Source organism: Homo sapiens, chromosome 12, assembly GCF_000001405.40.
Source record: "Homo sapiens chromosome 12, GRCh38.p14 Primary Assembly".
Taxonomy (NCBI): domain Eukaryota; kingdom Metazoa; phylum Chordata; class Mammalia; order Primates; family Hominidae; genus Homo; species Homo sapiens.
Window position 1 is genome coordinate 56,296,012 of NC_000012.12, and position 20,843 is coordinate 56,316,854.

At 47.9% G+C, this 20,843-nt stretch overlaps 2 protein-coding genes and 1 long non-coding RNA gene across 4 annotated transcripts in view, besides 11 other annotated features; 1 reads left to right on the forward strand and 2 right to left on the reverse strand.

Moving 5' to 3' along the window:
- Nucleotides 1–4,319, reverse strand: part of CS (citrate synthase) — a 28,632-nt gene extending 24,313 nt beyond the window's left edge. Inside the window, exon 1 of the mRNA NM_004077.3 lies at nucleotides 4,149–4,319. Coding sequence (NP_004068.2) covers nucleotides 4,149–4,190 — 42 coding nt within the window. The 5' untranslated portion in view covers nucleotides 4,191–4,319. The remainder of the gene's footprint in view (nucleotides 1–4,148) is intronic.
- Nucleotides 3,500–4,017: an enhancer, noted in NCBI's record as "H3K27ac-H3K4me1 hESC enhancer chr12:56693295-56693812 (GRCh37/hg19 assembly coordinates)". NCBI's record gives its function as "activates a minimal SCP1, AML or CMV promoter by ChIP-STARR-seq in primed H9 embryonic stem cells {active_cell/tissue: H9 hESC(primed)}" and the evidence as "EXISTENCE:reporter gene assay evidence [ECO:0000049][PMID:30033119]".
- Nucleotides 3,585–3,804: an enhancer, noted in NCBI's record as "active region_6487". NCBI's record gives its function as "activates an Ori minimal core promoter by ATAC-STARR-seq in GM12878 lymphoblastoid cells {active_cell/tissue: GM12878}" and the evidence as "EXISTENCE:reporter gene assay evidence [ECO:0000049][PMID:35858748]".
- Nucleotides 3,640–3,809: an enhancer, noted in NCBI's record as "experimental_29679 CRE fragment used in MPRA reporter constructs". NCBI's record gives its function as "activates a minimal promoter by MPRAs in K562 erythroleukemia cells, with activity observed for both the introgressed and non-introgressed 12:56693520 variant alleles {active_cell/tissue: K562}" and the evidence as "EXISTENCE:reporter gene assay evidence [ECO:0000049][PMID:34662402]".
- Nucleotides 4,005–4,194: a silencer, noted in NCBI's record as "silent region_4556". NCBI's record gives its function as "represses an Ori minimal core promoter by ATAC-STARR-seq in GM12878 lymphoblastoid cells {active_cell/tissue: GM12878}" and the evidence as "EXISTENCE:reporter gene assay evidence [ECO:0000049][PMID:35858748]".
- Nucleotides 4,275–4,554: a silencer, noted in NCBI's record as "silent region_4557". NCBI's record gives its function as "represses an Ori minimal core promoter by ATAC-STARR-seq in GM12878 lymphoblastoid cells {active_cell/tissue: GM12878}" and the evidence as "EXISTENCE:reporter gene assay evidence [ECO:0000049][PMID:35858748]".
- Nucleotides 6,074–6,243: an enhancer, noted in NCBI's record as "experimental_29680 CRE fragment used in MPRA reporter constructs". NCBI's record gives its function as "activates a minimal promoter by MPRAs in K562 erythroleukemia cells, with activity observed for both the introgressed and non-introgressed 12:56695954 variant alleles {active_cell/tissue: K562}" and the evidence as "EXISTENCE:reporter gene assay evidence [ECO:0000049][PMID:34662402]".
- Nucleotides 6,872–6,921: an enhancer, noted in NCBI's record as "active region_6488". NCBI's record gives its function as "activates an Ori minimal core promoter by ATAC-STARR-seq in GM12878 lymphoblastoid cells {active_cell/tissue: GM12878}" and the evidence as "EXISTENCE:reporter gene assay evidence [ECO:0000049][PMID:35858748]".
- Nucleotides 9,280–9,480: a silencer, noted in NCBI's record as "peak1741 fragment used in MPRA reporter construct". NCBI's record gives its function as "represses an SCP1 promoter by STARR-seq MPRAs in K562 erythroleukemia cells {active_cell/tissue: K562}" and the evidence as "EXISTENCE:reporter gene assay evidence [ECO:0000049][PMID:32103011]".
- CNPY2 (canopy FGF signaling regulator 2) lies at nucleotides 13,833–20,335 on the reverse strand. Of its 2 annotated transcripts, NM_014255.7 has the most exons (6): nucleotides 19,810–19,977; nucleotides 19,119–19,231; nucleotides 18,840–18,955; nucleotides 15,200–15,403; nucleotides 14,947–15,043; nucleotides 13,833–14,584 (listed from the first exon to the last, which is right to left on the reverse strand). In NM_014255.7, exons 2-6 carry the CDS (start codon nucleotides 19,204–19,206, stop codon nucleotides 14,541–14,543), a joined length of 549 nt encoding a protein of 182 aa, NP_055070.1. In that variant the 5' UTR covers nucleotides 19,207–19,231; nucleotides 19,810–19,977; the 3' UTR covers nucleotides 13,833–14,540. The 2 variants fall into 2 exon arrangements, with proteins under 2 accessions (NP_055070.1, NP_001177920.1); NM_001190991.3 differs by lacking the exons at nucleotides 13,833–14,584; nucleotides 14,947–15,043; nucleotides 15,200–15,403 and having other exon boundaries at nucleotides 18,484–18,955; nucleotides 19,810–20,335.
- CNPY2-AS1 (CNPY2 antisense RNA 1) lies at nucleotides 15,403–18,797 on the forward strand. The gene is made up of 2 exons (XR_002957416.2): nucleotides 15,403–16,488; nucleotides 18,518–18,797. It is a non-coding gene; the product is annotated as a CNPY2 antisense RNA 1 (long non-coding RNA).
- Nucleotides 19,962–20,550: an enhancer, noted in NCBI's record as "NANOG-H3K27ac-H3K4me1 hESC enhancer chr12:56709757-56710345 (GRCh37/hg19 assembly coordinates)". NCBI's record gives its function as "activates a minimal SCP1, AML or CMV promoter by ChIP-STARR-seq in primed H9 embryonic stem cells {active_cell/tissue: H9 hESC(primed)}" and the evidence as "EXISTENCE:reporter gene assay evidence [ECO:0000049][PMID:30033119]".
- Nucleotides 20,051–20,100: an enhancer, noted in NCBI's record as "active region_6489". NCBI's record gives its function as "activates an Ori minimal core promoter by ATAC-STARR-seq in GM12878 lymphoblastoid cells {active_cell/tissue: GM12878}" and the evidence as "EXISTENCE:reporter gene assay evidence [ECO:0000049][PMID:35858748]".
- Nucleotides 20,181–20,330: an enhancer, noted in NCBI's record as "active region_6490". NCBI's record gives its function as "activates an Ori minimal core promoter by ATAC-STARR-seq in GM12878 lymphoblastoid cells {active_cell/tissue: GM12878}" and the evidence as "EXISTENCE:reporter gene assay evidence [ECO:0000049][PMID:35858748]".

Genomic DNA, 20,843 nt, shown 5'->3' on the forward strand with positions numbered 1-20,843 from the left:
CTTTAGGGATTTACAAGAAACTTTTCCAGATCCCATCCTACTTTGCAGAATTGTAATCTGAAGGTAGGATCCAGGAAACTGCAACATAAGCAAGCATTACAGGTGACAATGCCCACTGTGAGTTTACAGACCTTTTAAAATAGCATCATGTTAAAAGAAATACAGAGGGCTGGGTGCAGTGGCTCACGCCTGTAATCTCAGCACTTTGGGAAGCTGAGACTGGTGGATTGCTTGAGCCCAGGAGTTCGAAACCAGCCTGGACAACATGGCAAAACACTGTCTCCAAAAAAACTACAAAAAAATTAGCCAGGCGTGGCTGTGCGTGCCTGTGGTCCCAGCTACTCGGGGGGATTGCTTGGGCCCATGAGGTTGAGGCTGTAGTAATAGCAAGCCATGTTCGCACCACTGCACTCCAGCCCCACCCCCCAAAAAAAACCCAAAACAGAGAACTAAGGAACTTGTGCAGTTGAAGCACAGTTGAAGCCAGAACTGAAAGATAATCAGATGCTAAGAAAGATCTATTGCTACAGTTGCCTCATTACGGTTTTAAATTTCACATCCTACTCTGTTGCATAAAGTATTGACACAGGGCAGAAAGAATCATTGTGTGGCTTTATTGAAATCCACCAAGTCTGGTTTCCCTTCTGCTGCCCCTTGGATTTTAAGTCAGGAATGCCAACTCTATCGCTGCTACCTACCATACTATTCTTGCTGCCTCCCCATGCATTCATTCACCTGCTACCAACCTAAAGGCCACTGGGAAGACCAAATGCAGTCATCTCACCACTAACACCCCATAAGGCTTCCCCTGCCATTCTAGTATCAAGGAATCACCGTTACTTTGGGTAGGCTGATAGTCAAAGTGAGGGCACAGAGATATGAGCCCTTACCTTTAAAAAATTTGGGCTTTAAAACCTAACTAAATATTTTGCAGGACAAAACCAACTCGGTTTTGTTGAACCCAATTTCTGAGTAGGACTTATACAGGTGATGTTGTACAGTGGTATAAGTCCAATGTAAAGAAACCATTGGTTCCTTTGCATTTAAGTGTCTTGAAAAAGTCTAGAAGTAATCTAGAAACATCTTTGAATTGATTTACTCAGTTTCAAACATACTAGCTTGGAGAAGCAATTTTCAGTGGCTCAAGAGACAGTTCCCTTTAGCTAGGGTTGGTTAAGCATGTTGACTTCAAAAGTCCAGAAGTGAACTGCAGCCCTACTTCAATTCCTAGCCCAAATCCAAACCCAGATCATCTGTGAAAAGACATTTTTGATGTCACAAAACTGAGTCACCCACAGATAATACTAAGGCCATTGCTTAGCATTAATGAATTTGGATAAACAAGAAGTCAAATAATCTCAAAGCTCTCTGAATTAGCTTCTAACTCAGGTGTTTTAAATTATGTGACATTTAAATTATGTGACAGTGAGAGTAGAACAATAGAACAATGACTAATTCACATGTTGTCTCCTAGTAAGGTTAAAAAAATTCGCCAGTCTGGCCAATATGGTGAAACCCCGTCTCTACCAAAAATACAAAAAATTAGCTGGGCGTGGTGGTGCACACCTGCTAACCCCAGCTACTCAGGAGGCTGAGTCACGAGAATCGCTTGAGCCTGGGAGGCAGAGGTTACAGTGAGCGGAGATTACGCCACTGCACTCCAGCCTGAGTGACAGAGTAAGACTCTGTCTCAAAACAAAAAAAAATTTCTTCTCAGAAAAGTAAAACTACACCTGACGCTGAGACTCAAAGTGGTAAGAGTCAGTTCTCCCTGGTAGGAAATTACTGCCTCCCAAAGTCTACCTTACTAGCAAAAGTAAAATTACCAATTATGACTAGCATTATCCACAGGCTAATCTAGAAAGCACAGGCAGGTGCTAGCAATGCTGACAAGCCAACAAGCTTCTTGGTACCCTGGTCATATTGCTTATTTCTCAGGAGATTTCCAGTCCAATAAACTCATTATTGGGCTTTGCTACCCCCCCCGCCCTTTTTTTTCTCTTTGAAACGGAGTTTCGCTCTTGTTGCCCAGGCTGGAGTGCAATGGAGCGATCTGGGCTCACCACAACATCCGCCTCCTGGGTTTGAGCGATCCTCCTGCCTCAGCCTCCCAAGTAGCTATGATTACAGGCATGTGCCACCATGTCTGGCTAATTTTGTATTTTTCGTAGAGATGAGGTTTCTCCATGTTGGTCAGGCTGGTCTCAAATTCCCGACCTCAGGTGATCCACCCGCCTCTGCCTCCCAAAGTGCTGAGATTACAGGTGTGAGCCACTGCACCTGACCTACTTTTAAGGGTCAAAAGCCTTCTAATGGCTTTCAACTGATAGGTGACTAGGATCGTCAGGCCATCTCTAACAGGAAAATAATGGTACCATAATTATGTAGCTCTGTCATCCCAAAAGTGTTCTGAGCTTCCCTATGGGCTTAAGGAGGAAAATAAATTCAATAGGTAAATCCCAAGGCTTTTTCACATTCACTGCAGGGTTAGACTATCTGGTCTGGGTTAGCAGCTCAGAAATGAGCTAATTATAGTGTCCCCCATTCTGCCAAAACGCTATCTAGAACTTGCTTCATTTCCCAAGAGGTTTCCTTACCCTTTTCCCCAGCAGCAGGAGAAGCAACAGCCAAGTAAGACAAGCATCTCCCAAATGCTCAGCTAGTACTTGCCACTGGGTGCCTGGAAGAACCAAGGTAAATCTTACAAATTTCACTTTGTGCCAACCATGAAAAATAACGCACAGCAGGCCAGGTGCAGTGGTTCACACCTGTAATCCCAGCACTTTGGGAGGCCGAGGCAGGAAGATTACTTGAGCTCAGGAGTTCAAGACCAGCCTGGGCAACATAAGGAGACGCTGCCTCTACTAAAAATCAAAAAAGATTAGCCAGGCGTGGCGGTGCACACCTGTGGTCCCAGCTACTCGGGAAGCTGAAGTGGGAGGATTGCTTGAGCCCAGGAGGTGGAGGCTGCAGGGAGCCTTGGTCACACCACAAGACTCCAGCTTGAGTGACAGAGCAATATCCTGTCTCAAAAAAAAAAAAAAATTACATACAGCAAGCCAAAACCATCCTAAGGCTTTCCTTTCCTTCAGATGCTGTCAGCTTTAAATTATCCGCAGGAAAAACTAAGTTCTTTGCAGAAGTCAAGGTCACTTGTGGGACTGTCCCCTGCTTGGATTAGAGGGCTGGGACTCCCTCAGCACAGCAGTTTCTGTCTAAAAGGGCCAAGTTACTTAGAACTAAAAGTACTGCAATTTGAAATTGAAGGCATCATTACCTGCAACAGTATTTCTATGTCCCAAAAGGCAATCAATACCAAGTAAAGGACCCCAAAGAAGGAGAGAAAGTTCCTGGATAAAGTAGACTTAAGATCAACGGCATAACCTGGGTAAGCAAGTAGTATGACGGTCATGTGACCTTGGCATTAGTATCTCTTGCCGAGGATCTTCATTTATTGGCTTGCAGTTTGGTGGAAACACCTTTCTGGTTCTTTCTGCAATCATGTATGATAGTCATGCAGGAGGTTGTACAGAAGTGCTCCACCCCACCCAAGCTCCTCCTATATAAAAAGTGCAAGAGTCCCAAGGACAAAGAGGAGGGCCTGAAGGACCCACTCTTGTGCTCGGCGTGGTCACCGAAGGCTTAAATAATAGGCTTGGAGAAATGGAAACAGGCAGTTCGGGAACTGACAAGGCCCTTCCTACAAAGCAGAGGACGAAATTAGCCACTGCTCCAGAGTGAGCACATATCTTCACTCCCGCTCCCTCCACCAAACTGACTGTAACTCCAGTGGAACACCACATCTCTAGTCTCTACCAGAGGTTCCTGTCTCGGCTCCTTGCTATTTCAGGGCCACGCATCCCTTCCCCTTTCATTTCAGACATGCGGGGTGACAGCAGGGTCGGCCTCCTCACGCGTTCTGGACTGCGGGCCGAGGGCGGGCGGCGTGCACTTCACCCCCAGGAGCCAGAAGGGAAGCGCGGCACATGGTCCTGTAGCTTCACGCAGGGCTGGCGGCCAGCCAAGCGCAGGGCCCTTTAAGGCGCGCAGGGTGCGCACGGGTGTGGGAGGGAGACCCCGGCGCCGGAGGGCCTGCGGTCGCCTCAGCCCCACCCTGGGACGGCGTGCTCCCTCCCCTCGCTGCTCACCTTGGTTCCCAAGAGCCGGGCGGCCGCAGTAAGTAAAGCCATGGCGGGCGATCTCCGGGATCTGGTGGGGAGGTAAGAAAGGGAGAGAGCTGCGGCAGGAACAGGAGCCGCCGCCGCTGCACCAGAGGCCGCGCCGACGGGTTGACAAGGTTGAAAGGAGGCGGCTGAAGGAAAGAGTAGACGAACCGGCGGCGGCGCCCAGCCCGGGGTCCTCAAGGAGGCCCCGCCCACTGGCCGGAACCCGAGCCCGCCCCTCTCAAGGGACTCTCCCCGGGCCCGGCCATTGGTCCGGTATGGAAGCGGGGCGGGACCTTAGCCCTTGACAGCAGTTGTGACGGGGAGGATTGGACCGCCCGGATTAGGGCTAATTAAGGGTGGATGGGTGGCGGGCGGGGAAGTGCGGGTGGCTAAATAGGTGCCTGATAACTCAGTTAACTTCCCTCTTGGCTTTTCCCTTTGACCTTAACACTTTTGGGGTTATCTCTGAGGCGAATGCTAAAGGAGACGCTCCAGGACTCGACCTCTGAAGGTCCTTGGAGCCAATTCCGTAATATGATCATGGAAACTGATCATTGCCTGATCCTTCTACCGCCTTGGCGCGCTTTCTTGAGGAATGTCTTTGGTTAATGGCTTCACGGCCATGGAGGTGACATCATGTGGACAACAGGCTAGGATGCCAGAGTTAGCTGCTCGGTGGAGATCATTTGAGGTCAGCAGAGGCCACGATATTATAGATACTAACAGACCCCGATATGGGGAGAAAAGCAAAAGCAGGAGCCTGAATATCCAGTGCTTTGTGAGCTGTCAGTTCTGTGTGTAATGGCAGGAAATCCAAGTCTTAACTGCGCCCTTACTATGAAGGCTTTCCGAGCCAGCCACAGCTTCTGGGTCATGGGCATTAGTCTCACTGCCACTCTGGTCACGTAACCCCACACAGCAGCTCACCCCACTTTAGCCACAGATTAGGAGCCGCAGACTAGCCCCTCATCGAAGATCCCCTTTGGTCACATTCTCTAGGGCCTCTGGGCCACTTCTCCTACTTGGCAGTCTTCTATGCTCTCTTATCTTGTGCTCCCCAGAGACCATGACACGACCCTGAAGTGATATTCCGCACCACTTTCTAAATCCTCTGGGTAGACGAGGCTTCAGGACTTTTGTGCCTCCCTAAGCCTGTCGTAGTCATTGACCCCAAGGACAAGAGCATCTTATCTACAAACCTCCAGCCCCAAGTGAAAAGCCTTTTTTTTTTTTGGAGACAGATCTTGCTCTGTAGCTGAGGCTGGATTGCAGTGGTGCGATCTCAGCCTCCTGAGTAGCTGGGATTATAGGCGCCCGCCACCACGCCCAGCTAATTTTTGTATTCTTAGTAGAGATGGGGTTTTGCCATGTTGGTCAGACTGGTCTCGAAATCCTGACCTCAGGTGATCCACCCGCCTCGGGCTCCCAAAGTACTGGGATTACAGGCGTGAGCCACCGTGCCCAGCTGTGAATAGCCCTTTTATCTCACCACATAGCAGTAACAAGGATCACAGGTCTCAGTATCCACCTAAGCCAGGTTTAGATAGATCTCCTTTACAAAGAACCGAGTTTCTAGCTTGGACTTGGAAAAAGAGATAGAAAACCCCTATTTTCTCTTCTTAATTTTCTTTATACTCAGCTTCACACCTAACAACCAATGCTCTTCTGGCCTGGGGATCAGATAGTTAGGTCTCAGGAAAAAACTTTAGGCAATGCTCCAGAGGAGCACTGACCTCAGCTACCTTTGAAGACCCCGGTGACTTCAAAGCTTCACTGATCAATATTTGCTCCCCATTTAGCATCTCATAAAGGATTTCCACATAACCCTAGAATAGTCTGACCTGGTTCCTTTTCTCTGGTTAATTATCCACAGAGACTAACCAGCAGACCACAGGACTGAACTTCAGTGCCCCAGGATGAGACTACCAAAGGGACAATTATTGAGAGGCCACAGGATCATCTGTCTTGGAGCTTTAGTGATTGGGTGGGGAACAGCAATGCTCTAAGCCTCTCGACACTGGGTCCCAGAGCCCCTAGTGCCATGGGGACTTTATGGACTTGTTTTGAAGTTGTCCAATCCTGACATCGACTGCTATAAGGGCAATTGGAAAGCACAGGATCAAAGCGGCTAACTGGCATCTCCCAGGAGCTGGCCTAGATTCCTTCTCAACACTGATGGGACCTGGGGAGGTTGGAGAGAATGTTAAGGAAGAAAGATTGGCATGAATAAAGCAGCCAAGTGAGCTCTAGGTCCAGGTATAACTAAGTGCTTGGGAACTTGAAGGGGCAAGGGAGAGAAGGCTGAGAATTTAGGTTGTTGTGACCTTGGGAGGACCTCTTTAAAGTGTAGGGAGGCAATAGCACCCCCTAGTGGCAAAGGACAAGTGGGCTAATAAAATCTAAATTTAAACCCTTAAACTACAAGGTAAACCAAACGCCTCTATTTAATAGATAATAGCTAAAACTTAAACTGGAGGATCCCTTACTATTTGCAGATACTATCTAAATGTGGAACATGCATTATCTTTTTTTTTTTTTTTTTTTTTTTGGAGATAGAGTCTTGTTCTGTTGCCCAGCCTGGAGTGCAGTGGTATGATCTCGGCTCACTGCAACCTCCACCTCCTAGGTGGCACACGCCGCCACGCCTGGCTAATTTTTTTTTTTTTTTCTATTTTAGTAGAGATGGGGTTTCACCATGTTGCCCAGGCTGGTCTCCAAAGTGCTAGGATTACAGGCATGAGCCACTGTGCCTGGCCTGGAATGTGCATTATCTTAATCTTTGCAACAACTCTAAGTTTCAAGGTATTAAAAAATAAAAAGAAGAGAAAACCAAGACTTAGATGAAGTATCCTACCCAGTGTCATAGCTTGTAATTGGCATGGCTATAAATTCAGACCAAGGTCAGCATTACTAGGCTGTATTTCTTTTTCTTTTTTTTTTTTTGAGATGGAGTCTCACTGTGTAGCCCAGGCTGGAGCGCAGTGGCACAATCTCAGCTCACTGCAACCTCTGCCTCCCTGGTTCAAGCGATTCTTCTGCCTCCGCCTCCCAAGTAGCTGGGATTACGGGCGCATGCCACCACACTCAGCTAATTTTTGTATTTTTAGTAGAGACAAGGTTTCACTATGTTGGCCAGGTTGGCCACTGCGCCTGGCCCTAAGCTGTATGTCTTACATGATGATTATGATTTTTTTTTTTTTTTTGAGAGAAGGTCTTGCTCTGTAACCCAGGCTGGAACGCAGTGGCATGATCGTTGCTCACTGCTGCCCAACTTCCTGGCCTCAAGCGATCCTCCCACCTCACTCTCCCAAGTAGCTGGGACTACAGGTACTCACCACCACACCTGGCTAATTTTTCCTTTTTTTTTTTTTTAGAGACAGGGTCTTGCCATGTTGCCCAGGCTGGTCTTGAACTTCTGGGCTCAAGTGATCCTCCTTCCTTGGTCTCCCAAAGTGTTGGGATTACAAGCATGAGCCACCACATCTGGCAATTGTGAACTATCAGCTGCAACTCAGTAAGGGGATTTTTGAGTCACTGTCAACTGTCTCCTGGAGACATCAACTCACTGTGTTGCTATAAAGATATTTCGGCCGGGCATGGTGGCTCACGCCTATAATCCCAGCACTTTGGGAGGCCGAGGCGGGTGGATCACAAGGTCAGGAGATTGAGACCATCCTGGTTAACACGGTGAAACCCTGTCTCTACTAAAAATACAAAAAGTTAGCCGGGTGTGGTGGCGGGCGCCTGTAGTCCCAGCTACTCGGGAGGCTGAGACAGGAGAATGGCGCAAACCCAGGAGGCGGAGCTTGCAGGGAGCCAAGATTGTGCCACTGCACTCCAGCCTGGGCAACAGAGCGAGACTCCGTCTCAAAAATAAATAAATAAATAAAAAGATATTTAAGCCAAGCAAGGTGGAATGTGCCTGTAGTTTCAGTTGCTAGGGAGGCTGAGGCAGGAGGATTGCTTGAGCCCAGGAGTTTGAGGCTATAGTGCCTAATGATCATGCCTGTGAACAGCCACTGTACTCCAGATTGGGCAACATAGTGAGACCTTTTCTCTAAAAAAAACATAAAAATAAAAGATAAGGAACTATAGTCTTACTCATCTGTAAAGACTTTCACATCCATATGTGAACTAGATAATAAATGGTGACTCCCAGAATACATAAAGGTAGGAGAGACAAACATTCAGCATTTGAAATGACCAGAAAGGGGGCTGGGTGTGGTTTCTCATGCCTATAATCCAGGCGTGGTAGTCTCAGCACTTTGGAAGGCCAAGGCAGGAGGATCACCTGAGACCAGGAATTCAAGTCCACCCTGGGCAACATGATGAAATTCCACCTCTACAAAAAATGTAAAAATTAGCCAGTCCAGGTGGTGTGCGCCTATAGTCCCAGCTACTGGGGCGGCTGAGGTTGGAGGATCAGTTGAGCTGAGGAGGTTGAGGCTACAGTGAGCCATGATCATACCACTGCACTCCATGTACTCCATTCCAGCCTGGGCGACTGAGCAAGCTTGTCTCAAATACTACAGCCCAGGCATTGTGGCTCACTCCTGTAATCCCAGAATTTTGGGAGGCCAAGACAGGCAGATTACTTGAGGTCAGGAGTTTGAGACCAGCCTGGCCAACATGTTGAAACCCCGTCTCTACTAAAAATACAAAAATTAGGCTGGGCGCAGTGGCTCATGCCTGTAATCCCAGCACTTTGGGAGACTGAGGCGGGCAGATCACCTGAGGTTGGGAGTTTGAGACCAGCCTGACCAACATGGAGAAACCCTGTCTTTACTAAAAATACAGAATTAGCCGGGCATGGTGGTGCACGTCTGTAATCCCAGCTACTTGGGAGGCTCAGGTAGGAGAATCACATGAGCAGGGGAAGCAGAGGTTGCAGTGAGCCGAGATTGCATCACTGCGCTCCAGCCTGGGCAAGAGCGAGACTCTGTCTCAAACAACAACAACAGCAAAAACAAACAAAAAATGACCAGAAAGGTAAAAGGGGTGTCTTATAAGGAATAGTCAGGAAAAATGGCTGAACAGAGGATATAATGCTTTTCCACTACAGATTACTAGAATCAGAGGGCATACATTCAAACTTGGAGACAGTTTTTCAAGCCATATTTAAAAAGTGCTACTTTATACAGCCACTTGGAGACTCCACTACATAGAATGAGGTATAACAGAAAGATGACTGGACTAGGGATTAGAGGATGACTGGACTACGGATTAGAGGATCACTGGGGTTGAAGTCTTGGCTCCTCGCTGACTAGCAAGACACTTAATCTCTCTGAGCTTAGTTTCTTCATCTATAAAATAGGAATAACATCTATTTCTTAGAGTTGCAAAGATTAAATGAGGCCAGGCAAGGTGGCTCACATTTGTAATCCTGGCACTTTGGGAGGCCAAGAGGATCACTGGAGCCCAGGAGTTTGAGACCAGCCTGGGCAAAACAGCAAGATCCCATCTCTACGAAACATTTTTTAAGTTAGTTGGGCCTGGTGATGCGCGTCTGTAGTCCCAGCTACTCAGGAGGCTGAGGTGGGAGCATTGCTGGAGCCTGGGAGGTGGAGGTTGCAGTGAGCCATAATCTCACCACTGTACTCCAGCCTGGACAACACAGCAAAACCCTGTCTCAAAAAAAAAAAAAAAAAAAAGAAAAAAAAGATTAAATGAGTGTGTATGTGCTTGTTATACAAGTATTCAGCATATATTATTTCCCTTCCCCATGCTATTTATTCCTATTTATTTATGACAGGGTCTGGCTCTGTCACCCAGGCTGGAGTGCAGTGGCAAGATCTCAGCTCACGGCAACCTCCTGGGCCCAAGCCACCCTCCCACCTCAGCCTCCTGGGTGGCTGGGACTACAGGTGTGCCCTGCCTGGTTAATTTTTGTATTTTTTGTAGAGATGGGGTTTCTCCATGTTGCCCAGACTGGTCTTGAATTTCTGAACTCAAGTGATCCGCTGCCTCAGCCCCCAAAACTGCTGGGATTACAGGCGTGAACCACTGCACCTGGCCCCTGTCCTATATTTAAAGGAATATTGTACCTATGAATGCTTTTTAAGTTAAAAAATCCTATAAAAGTTTTTTTTTTTTTTTTTTCGGCCAGGCAGTGGCTCATGCCTGTAATCCCAGCACTTCGGGAGGCCAAAGTGGGTGGATCATTTCAGATCAGGAGTTCAAGACCAGTCTGGCCAACATGGTGAAACCCCACCTCTATTAAAAATACAAAAATTAGCCGGGCATGGTGGCAGGCACCTGTAGTCCCAGCTACTTGGGAGGCTGAGGCAGGAGAATCACTTGAACCTGGGAGGTGGAGGTTGCAGTGAGTCGAGATCATGCCACTTCACTTTTTTTTTTTTTTTTTTTGAGACAGGGTCTTGCTCTGTTGCCCAGGCTGGAGTGCAGTGGCGAGATCATGACTCACTGCAATCTCGATCTCCCTGGCTCAAGCAGTCCTCCCACCTTAGCCTACTGAGTAGCTAGGACTACAGATGCCTGCCACTATACCCAGCTAATTTTTTTGCATAGACAGGGTCCTGCTATGTTGTCCAGGGTGGTCTCAAACTCCTGGGCTCAAAAGATCCTCCTGCCTCAGCCTCCCAAAGTGTTGGGATTATAGGTGTGAGCCACTGCATCTGGACTAAACCTTTTTTTGAGTCGCACTTTATTGCCCAGGCTGAAGTGCAGTGGCGCAATCTTCACTGTAACCTCTGCCTCCCTAGTAGCTGGGATTATAGGCGCATGCCACTACACCTGGCTAATTTTTGTATTTTTGGTAGAGATGGGTTTTTGGCATGTTGCCCAGGCTTGGTCTCGAACTCCTGGCCTCAATTGATCTGTCCACCTCGGCATCCCCAAGTGCTGGGATTACAGGCATGATCCACTGGGCCCAGCCCTAAAACGTATTTCTAAAGGACTAAATTTTCACATAATAAACTTTCCTGTTATATCTGTACCTCATTTAACACTGTCTTCGGAAATGTTTGTTAAGTTCTAACATTTTACTGATAAACTAAGTTAGAAGGCATCTGAAGCTTGATCAGATTTACAAGGTTAAGAGCATATGCTCTACCAAATACTGGGCTATAATTTATTATAATGAACCTCCAGAGGGTTCAGATAAATTCATGCATTCCTTGTGATATGAATTAAAACATGTGCAAAGCCAGGCATGGTGGTGCTTGCCTGTAATCCTAGAAACTCAGGAGGCCAAGGCAGGAGGATTGCTTGAAGCCAGGAGTTAGAGGCTGCAATGAGTTATGATCATGCCATTTCACTCCAGCCTGGGCAACAGAGCAAGACCCCTGTCTCGCTAAGATAGTAATAATAATAATGATAATAATAAAAAAAATAAGAGGTTTACAAAGTGTATCTTCCTGCTGGGCACGGTGGCTCACGCCTGTAATCCCAACACTTTGGGAGGCTGAGGCAGGCGGGTTACTTGAAGCCAGGAGTTTGAGACCAGCCTGGCCAACATGGTGAAACACTGTCTCTACAAAAAACTCAAAAATTAGCTGGGCATGATGGCACATGCTTGTAATCCCAGCTACTTGGGAGGCTGAGTCAGGAAAATCACTTGAACCAGGAGGTGGAGGTTGCAGTAAGCCGAGATTGCACCACTGCACTTCAGCCTGGGCGACAGAGCGAGACTCTCCCTCAGGAAAAAAAAAACAAAAAACAAAAAAACCCCACAAAGTGTATCCTTAATCAAGCCTAGAAGGTAACATCCACCCTTTCCTATATAGGACATATCCTTTGTGTACCAATGACAAAGTCTCTCCAGCTGGAGAGTTCTTAACAGCTGTACTTTGACAAACCAGAAAGGTGCATCACAAGTAACTTGTTACTGATTAACATTAAATTTATTTATTTAAAACTATGAATAATTTGTTTTCTAAATTAAAACAGTTTTAAGTTTCCAGAAGAGAACTCTCTTTATTGTATTTGAGACAGGGTCTCACTCTGTTGCCTAGGCTAGAGTGCAGTAGTGCAATCACAGCTCAGTGCAGCCTCAGCCTCCTGGGTTCGAGAGATCTTGCCACCTTGGCCTCCAGAGTCGCTGGAACCACAGGTGCACACCATTATGCCGGCTAATTTTTGTATTTTTTGTAGCAATGGGGTCTCACTATATTGCCTAGGCTGGTCTCAAACTCCTGGACTCGAGTGATCATGATCCTTCCACCTTGGCCTCCCAAAGTGTTGGGATTATGGGCACGAGCCACCGCATTTGGCTTGAAGAGTACTCTCATTTATACTTCTGATAAGCTTTCTGATGGAAAAGAAAGGCATTTTTAGGCACGAAGCACGAAATGGACAGCACCTTGGGTATACTTTCAGGGACATGAAAAAATGTAATTATTACTTATATGCATCATAGAAGAAAAAATAAGCTTTATAATAGTTGGTTTGGAAAACTAGAGCGAACACAGCATTTCTTATGGATGATGGGAGAAGATGGAATTAACACCAGGCTGATATTAGTTGACAACAAATATCAGAGTGCTTGCTCTGTGCTCTAGTTAATTTGTCAGATTTCACAGGGATTTTTGGTACAAGAAAGCTTTGTGGAATATATGCATTCTATGCGCCAGGCTTAGTGCAAGGTATTATTAGAGAAAAAAGACTTAAAATAGAAGGTACTCTATAGCTATATTAGATCAGGTCAGCACTTGGGAAAGTTAGCTTATAGACCCAGTTTTGCCATTAAATACAGAACTTCATAAAGTTCTATGGCTTCTCTGGGCCTCAGCTTCTTCATCAATAAAATGGGCAGAGGTGAACCAGACGACCTCTAAGGTTCCTTTAGATTCTAAAATGATGTAATTTTTAAAACCTTTGAAATGTTTATTCAGGTCTTCTCTCCTTGAGGTGTTCTTGGGACCGGAGATATTCCATTTGAAACCCTGAGACAACCATACCTCAAGCTCAGAGTGCTTAAGAATTTTCTGCCAGGTGCGGTGGCTCACACCAGTAATCCCAGCATTTGGGGAGGCCAAGGCGGGCGGATCATGAGGTCAGGAGATCGAGACCATCCTGGCTAACACGGTGAAACCCTGCCTCTACTAAAAATACAAAAAAATTAGCCAGTGCAGGCCGGGCGCGGTGGCTCACGCCTGTAATCCCAGCAGTTTGGGAGGCCAAGGCGGGCGGATCACGAAGTCAGGAGATCGAGACCATCCTGGCTAACATGGTGAAACCCCGTCTCTACTAAAAATACAAAAAATTAGCCGGGCGTGGTGGCGGGTGCCTATAGTCCCAGCTACTTGGGAGGCTGAGGCAGGAGAATGGTGTGAACCCGGGAGGCGAAGCTTGCAGTAAGCCGAGATCGCGCCACTGTACTCCAGCCTGGGCGATAGAGCGAGACTCTGTCTCACAAAAAAAAAAAAAAAAAAATTAGCCGGTGTGGTGGCGGGCGCCTGTAGTCCCAGCTACTCGGGAGGCTGAGTCAGGATAATGGCGTGAACCTGGGAGGCAGAGCTTGTAGTGAGCCGAGATCGCGCCACTGTACTCCAGCCTAGGCGACAGAGCGGGACTCCATCTCAGAAAAAAAAAGAAAAAAAGAATTTCCCAAAAGAAGGTATCCTTTAGGTTTTCATCCCTATGCCCCAGTCTGGAATCTCTACACACAGAATTGTGGACAGACTTATAGTCCAGATTGACAATGGCTAGTGATAGATACACTTTATTGTTGCCACTGGCATCAAATTTAAAAGCTTAGGCTGGCAAGCAAGGCCTCTCATTAAACAACCTTCCTTACCTCGTCTGTCCCTATCCGATAAAGCCCTTACTTTTCAGCTGAGTTGGTCACATCCATTTTCCCCTTCCTGTCTCTGTTCTTGCTGGTCCCTCCATCTGGATGGGCAGGGAAGGAAGAATAATGCATATCCGTTATTTCCTTCAAGACCAAGCCCTGTCTTACTTTATGTTTCAACAGCCATGAACACAAGGGATTTCTAGAATTCTACACTACCATACACTATGTTCCCCTGCTTCCTCATGGAGGTTCCTCTATTCTCCACAATTAGACTCTAAAGACGTGGTATTGAGTGGGCACTGACTGAAAGCTTATCTAGTTTATGAGTGGAGTGGAATCTCAGAAGGTAGAAGAATTAAAGGTTCAGGCCTCTCCTACCTTTATCCTGTATCAATCCCAAAACTCTTCTTTCTCCTCCATTATCTTTCCTGTCTATATAACTCCTTATCTTCAAGCTTAATGTAAGGGCAATTCCAGGCATGAAAAGACAACACAGTTTGTACTTTTGGTTTCATATTTTTTCAGTTAATTTCAGTAAAAACATAATATATAAAAGGCATTGCCACCATTTTCCCCTCCTGGGGGTGATCCATCAAGCCAGTGTGGGCTGCTCCAGTGGTTCATAGCTCATCATGCGATATGTGCAGGGCATGGTCACAAAGATCTGCAAATGGCAAACAATTTAAAGGAATATGCCATTCTCATACTGATATCTGCCAGTATCAAGAAAATTTCCCAGACCAAGCTGACACAAACACACACCAACCACCATTCTGCAGAATATATGCTTATAAATGATAAAACATCCCCACTGTCCTCTCACCTGTATCTCAGGGTCAAGGGGACACAAATTCTGAAAGCTGACAGAAAATGTGGAGGAACACCCCAAGTCCCTAAGCCAAGGGAAATGGAAGACAGCTCTTGACCTAATACCAGAGGTTTCTGGGATGGGGGTGTATGGGTGAGTTAGGGAATGTCAGGTTCCACAGAGCTACTAGAACAGGAGATAAAGTGGGGGCAGCTTACCTGTTCGCTTACTGCAAAGTTTGTCTTTAACATTGTCAGCCTCTCGGGAAAAGAATTCAATGAGTTCATCCTCGTATTCCTCCACAATGCTCTCACACTGCCAACCCAAGGGAGAAATGGGTGACACAGGGCAATAAGAGGCCTCTTGCCTTCACTTCCAAAGAGGAGGACAAGGATATCAGCCTAACTTTCTAATTGGTTCTCCAACAACCCCTTAATGTCCAAGAACCAGCTACCGATTCCCATAGCTCACCGCAAACTTGAGGGTGCCGCTAATATCTGAGTCGATTCGGATGCCTTGTAGGTCCAGTTCACTGGATTCTCCATTCCGGCCCACTACACGTACGTAGTTCTTGCGATGGGTGGAAGGATCAATCTGTTCCCCATACTCCTTCATCCGGTCACATATCTCCTCCAGCAGCTCTGTGAGGTGGGCCTCTGAGCGGGCATAAGGCACCTAGAAATGTCCTCAGCCTTGGGTCACTCTCTTCTACCTCTGTACATTAGTAATTTATATCCTTACTTTTCTTTCCAAATCTAGCTCCAACAACCTATTCTAAAAAGCTTTCCCTAATTGATTTTAATTAGTTTTGTTTGTTTGTTTGTTTTTTGAGATGGGGTTTTGCTCTTGTTGCCCAGGCTGGAGTGCATTGGCGCCATCTCGGCTTATTGCAACCTCTGCCTCCTGGGTTCAAGTGATTCTCCTGCCTCAGCCTCCTGAGTAGCTGGGACTACAGGCATGCACCACCACACCCAGCTAACTTTTGTATTTTTAGTAGAGATGGGGTTTCTCTGTGTTGGTCGGGCTGGTCTCAAACTCCAGACCTCAGGTGATCTGCCTGCCTCGGCATCCCAAAGTGCTGGGATTACAGACGTGAGCCACTGTGCCTGGCCTAGTGTGGTTTTCATTTATTTTATTTTATTTATTTATTTATTTTTTTGAGACGGAGTCTCACTCTTTCGCCCAGGCCGGACGCAGTGGCACTATCTTGGCTCAGTGCAAGCTCCGCCTCCAGGGTTCACACCATTCTCCTGCCTCAGCCTCCCGGGTAGCTGGGACTACAGGCGCCCACCACCACGCCCAGCTAATTTTTTGTATTTTTAGTAGAGACGGGTTTCACCGTGCTAGCCAGGATGGTCTCGATCTCCTGACCTAGTGATCCGCCCACCTTGGCCTCCCCAGGTGCTGGGATTACAGGCATGAGCCACCGCGCCCGGCCTGGTTTTAAATTAATATGGTTTACTTGATAGTTTCAAAGTACTTCTTTTTTTTTTTTTTTTTTTTTTTTTTGAGACAGGCCTCACTCCGTTGCCCAGGCTGGAGTGCAGTGGTGTGATGACTGAGGCTCACTACAGCTTGGATCTCCCAGGCTTAGGTGATCCTCCCATCTCAGCCTCACACAGATGCACACCACCACACCCAGCTACTTTTTTATATTTTTTTTGTAGAGACGGGGTCTTGCCATGTTGCCCAGGCTGGTCTCGAACTCCTGTGCTCAAGTGATCTGCCTGCCTTGGCCTCCAAGAGTGCTGGGATTACAGGTATGAGCCACTGTACTTGGCAGTAGTTTCAACTATATGATTTTATTTTACCTCATTGTACAATTCTTTTTTTTTTTCTTTTTTTTTTTGAGATGGAGTTTCACTCTTGTTGCCCAGGCTGGAGTGCAATGGCGCGATCTCGGCTCACCGCAAGCTCCACCTCCCGGGTTCAAGTGATTCTCCTGCCTCAGCTTCCCGAGTAGTTGGGATTACAGGCATGTGCCACCACGCCCAGCTAATTTTGTATTTTTAGTAGAGACGGGGTTTCTCCATGTTGGTCAGGCTGGTCTCAAACTCCCAACTTCAGGTAATCCACCCGCCTCAGCCTCCCAAAGTGCTGGGACTACAGGCATGAACCACCGTGCCCGGCACCTCATTGTACAATTCTAAGAAACAAGACAGTTAACATTAGCTCCAAGTTATAAACAGAATTTTTTGATTAACCTGATCAACTTATACTTCTAATTTCTATAGATGAAGATAATTTTTTTTTAAATTATAGTTTAAGTTCTGAGATACATGTGCAGAACGTGCAGGTTTGTTGCATAGGTATACATGTGCCATGGTGGTTTGCTACACCCATCAACCTGTCATCTACATTAGGTATTTCTCCTAATGCTATCCCTCCCCTAGCCCCCAACACCCCAACAGGACCTGATGTGTGACGTTCCCCTCCCTGTGTCCATGTGTTCATTAATATTTTATTTTTGGCCGGGCGTGGTGGCTCACGCCTGTAATCCCAGCACTTTGAGAGGCCGAGGAGGGTGGCTCACTTGAGGTCAGGAGTTCGAGACCATCCTGACCAACATGGAGAAACCCTGTCTCTACTAAAAATACAAAATTATCCAGGTGTGGTGGTGCATGCCTGTAATCCCAGCTACTCGGGAGGCTGAGGCAGGAGAATCGCTTGAACCCGGGAGGCAGAGGTTGCGGTGAGCCGAGATCGTGTCATTGCACTCCAGCCTGGGCAACAAGCCCTAAACTCCATCTCAAAAAAATAATAATAATTTTGTTTAAATTGAGACTAATATCCTCAGTAAGCACAGTATTAAAGATGTAGTGTAGGCTCTGTGAACAACAGCTATTAAAGTACCATAATCTTTTTTCTTTTCTTTTTTTTTTTTTGAGAGGAGTCTCGCTGTGTCGCCCAGGCTAGAGTGCAGTGGCACCATCTCAGCTCACTGCAAGCTCTGCCTCCCGAGTTCACGCCATTCTTTTCGTCTCAGCCTCCTGAGTAGCTGGGACTACAGGCACCCACCACCACGCCCGGCTAATTTTTTGTATTTTTAGTAGAGACGGGGTTTCACCATGTTAGCCAGGATGGTTTCGATCTCCTGACCTTGTGATCTGCCCACCTCAGCCTCCCAAAGTGCTGGCATTACGGGCGTGAGCCACCGCGCCCGGCCTTTTTTTTTTTTCAAGACAGAGTTTTGTTCTTGTCAACCAGACTGGAGTGCAGTGGTGCGATCTTGGCTCACTGCAACCTCTGCCTCCTGGGTTCAAGTGATTCTCCTGCCTCAGCCTCCTGAGTAGCTGGGACTATAGGCATGAGCCACCACGCCTGGCTACTTTTTTGTATTTTTAGTAGAGACGGAGTTTCACCATGTTGGCCAGGCTGGTCTCGAACTTCTAACCTCAGGTGATCCGCCTGCCTTGGCCTCCCAAAGTGCTGGGTTTTGGTTTTTTTTTGAGACAGGGTCTTGCTGTGTTTCCCAGGCTGGAGTGCAGTGGCACAATCACGGCTTACTGCAGCCTCGACCTCCTGGGCTCAAGTGATCCTCCCACCTCAGCCTTCCAAGCAGCTGTCACTACAGGCACATGCCACCATGCACTGCTAACTTTTGCATTTTTTTGTAGAGTTGGTGTTTTGCCATGATGCCCAGGCTAGCACTGTAATCTTAACACTGCCTTATATATTGCTTATTAGATACACCTTTGTGTACATGTGTGTTGTTTTCGATTAAAATTTCCTAATTATGAGGATAAGACCTTTTATTCTTATTTCTGTTTTTTCATTTTTTATTTTTAGCTCCGACTCAGATTTTGAACGGATGTTTGCATGTATACCACAGTGCTACATTAAAAACCAGTCATGTGGATGTGGAGAAGGGTGCTGATCAGGACTCCCTGTTTGCTAACAAATTCTACAGCAGAAACAAAGTATTAAGGTTTGCAGCCAGGAAGCAAGTGCATGGGGAATAAGCCTGCAGCTTCTTCCAAATGAGACAGAGCCAAATCTTTTTTCTGAGTCTGTTTTCTTCATTTCTATTAAACCAAGGTCCTTTTTAAGCAGTCGAATTTCATCCAAAGCCAGAGTGAGCTACTTTGTTTGGGGGAACAGTAACAGTTACCTCCACCACTGACTGGCTGCCATCTGGATTGATCCGGAAAGATCCCATCTGAATGGTCTTCTTGGGGTCCACCTGGGCAATTTCCCATTCTAGTTCATCCACCAGAGCCCTGCATGCTGGTGGAAGAGGAGAGAATGAGAGCAGGGGACAGGGTAGGGGGTAGGGTGTGAGGAGAATGGGATCAACCCAGGATTTCCATTCATCCTTCTCCCAGGCCTTGGATCTCATGCCCTCCCAAGGCTCTGCTTCCTCCACTTCTTTTTCCCGTTGTGCCTTTACCTCCACAGTGGAGATCCTGGCTCCTCCGAGCCCAGGCGGTTCCCAGCAGGGCCCCCAGAAGCAGGGCCAGCCAACCCCAGCCTTTCATCTTTAGCGTAATGGGGTCGCTCCACCTGGGTTTGAGTGGGAATAAAACATAAGTGTGAGGAGCCGACTCCATTTTTCCCTGACCCCCCCAATCCTCACCCCAAGGCTTTCAAAGGCCTCATTGTGACTCTGGCTCTACTTTCCAGGAAATGGCCGGGACACAAAGGGGCTTCTCTGTTCCAGCGCTTGAGGGCTCTGATTCCCCCAGGGTGGTGGGTGGGAGCGCGAGCTCAGGACTTGCGGCTCAGCCCCAGACTCTACGTGGATAGGTGAGGCCCTAAGTGTTGGTACTTTAGCACTGCATGCCTAGGGTTCACGGGGCTTTGTGGCAGCTACAGGAGGTAAGTTGGCGATTACGTGAGGACTACAGGCACTAGGGAACTGCCGGCAGGGAGCCCTCAGTCAGGCCAGGAGGCCAGCGAGGAGAGCAATAACTAGGGCCCATTTGGATCCTGCACCGAAGATTCCTGCGTCCCCACCTCCAGCCCGTAAGTGATTACCCGTACGGACACCAGCCCCCTTTCTAAGGACTCCGCCATTGCTTTCGCTTCAGTCCATCCCCAACCCTCAGCGCCCAGCGCCTCGCCGCCCGCATCCGTCCCACCTCTGCTCCCAGGGCCGCCGCCGTGGCCCAAGCGCTGGAAGACCGCTGGACTCTCACTTTGGCCCCAGTGGCTCCCGAAACTACACCTGGCTGCAGGGAGCAGGGCTGTCCGGGATTCTCCAGAGCGCTTCGCCGCCTGCCACACACGGGGTGTCCCGGCGACCGCCTGACCCAGCTCCCCTGACGCTAACTGGTACCTAAGCGGGACTCCAGCGTGCTGCGGTGCGAGCCCCAATCAGACACCGACCCCAAACCCGCCCCTCCAAACTCTCGCGCGAACAGGCAGCTTAGGAGAGGCTCCCGAACAGCAAGGACCCCGGTCAATCGCCGAAGGACCCAGACTTGCGTGGCGAACAGATCCACGTGACCACCAGGGGTCAGCCGTAGAATAGGAGTGGCCTTAAGCGACGACAGAGTCCGGGCGTGCTGTATGGGAGCGGCTAGTCGTGCGCGTGAGCCAGCCCAGGTGGGCTAGGACCTTCAAAACGGTGCGCTGCCGGCCAGCGAGCAGTCCAGGTTTCAATACACAGGAAACTACATCTCCCAGGAAGCACCGCAGCACCGGACCCATCTTTGTGAGCAACTACAAGTCTCAAGCTATCCTGGGACCTGTAGTTTGTCGGCTTACACAATTAACGGAAACCATACTGTACATCTTCAGTCTGACTTAGGGTACTGGGCAGCTATAGCAAAGACCCAGCATTGCCCAGAAAAGGCATAAATTATACCTTTTTCCCCTTTTTTTGAGACGGAGTCTCGCCCTATCGCCCAGGCTGGCATACAGTGGCGTGATCTCGGCTCACTGCAACCTCCGCCTCCCGGGTTGAAGCAATTTTCTGCCTCAGCTAGGGTTACAGTCGCCATCCACCACTCCCAGCTAATTTTTGTATTTTTAGTAGAGACGGGGTTTCACCATCTTGGTCAGGCTGGTCTTTAACTCCTGACCTCGTGTTCCACCCACCTCTGCCTCCCAAAGTGCTAGGATTACAGAAGTGAGCCACCGCGCCCGGCCTAATTATACCCTTTCATATCCA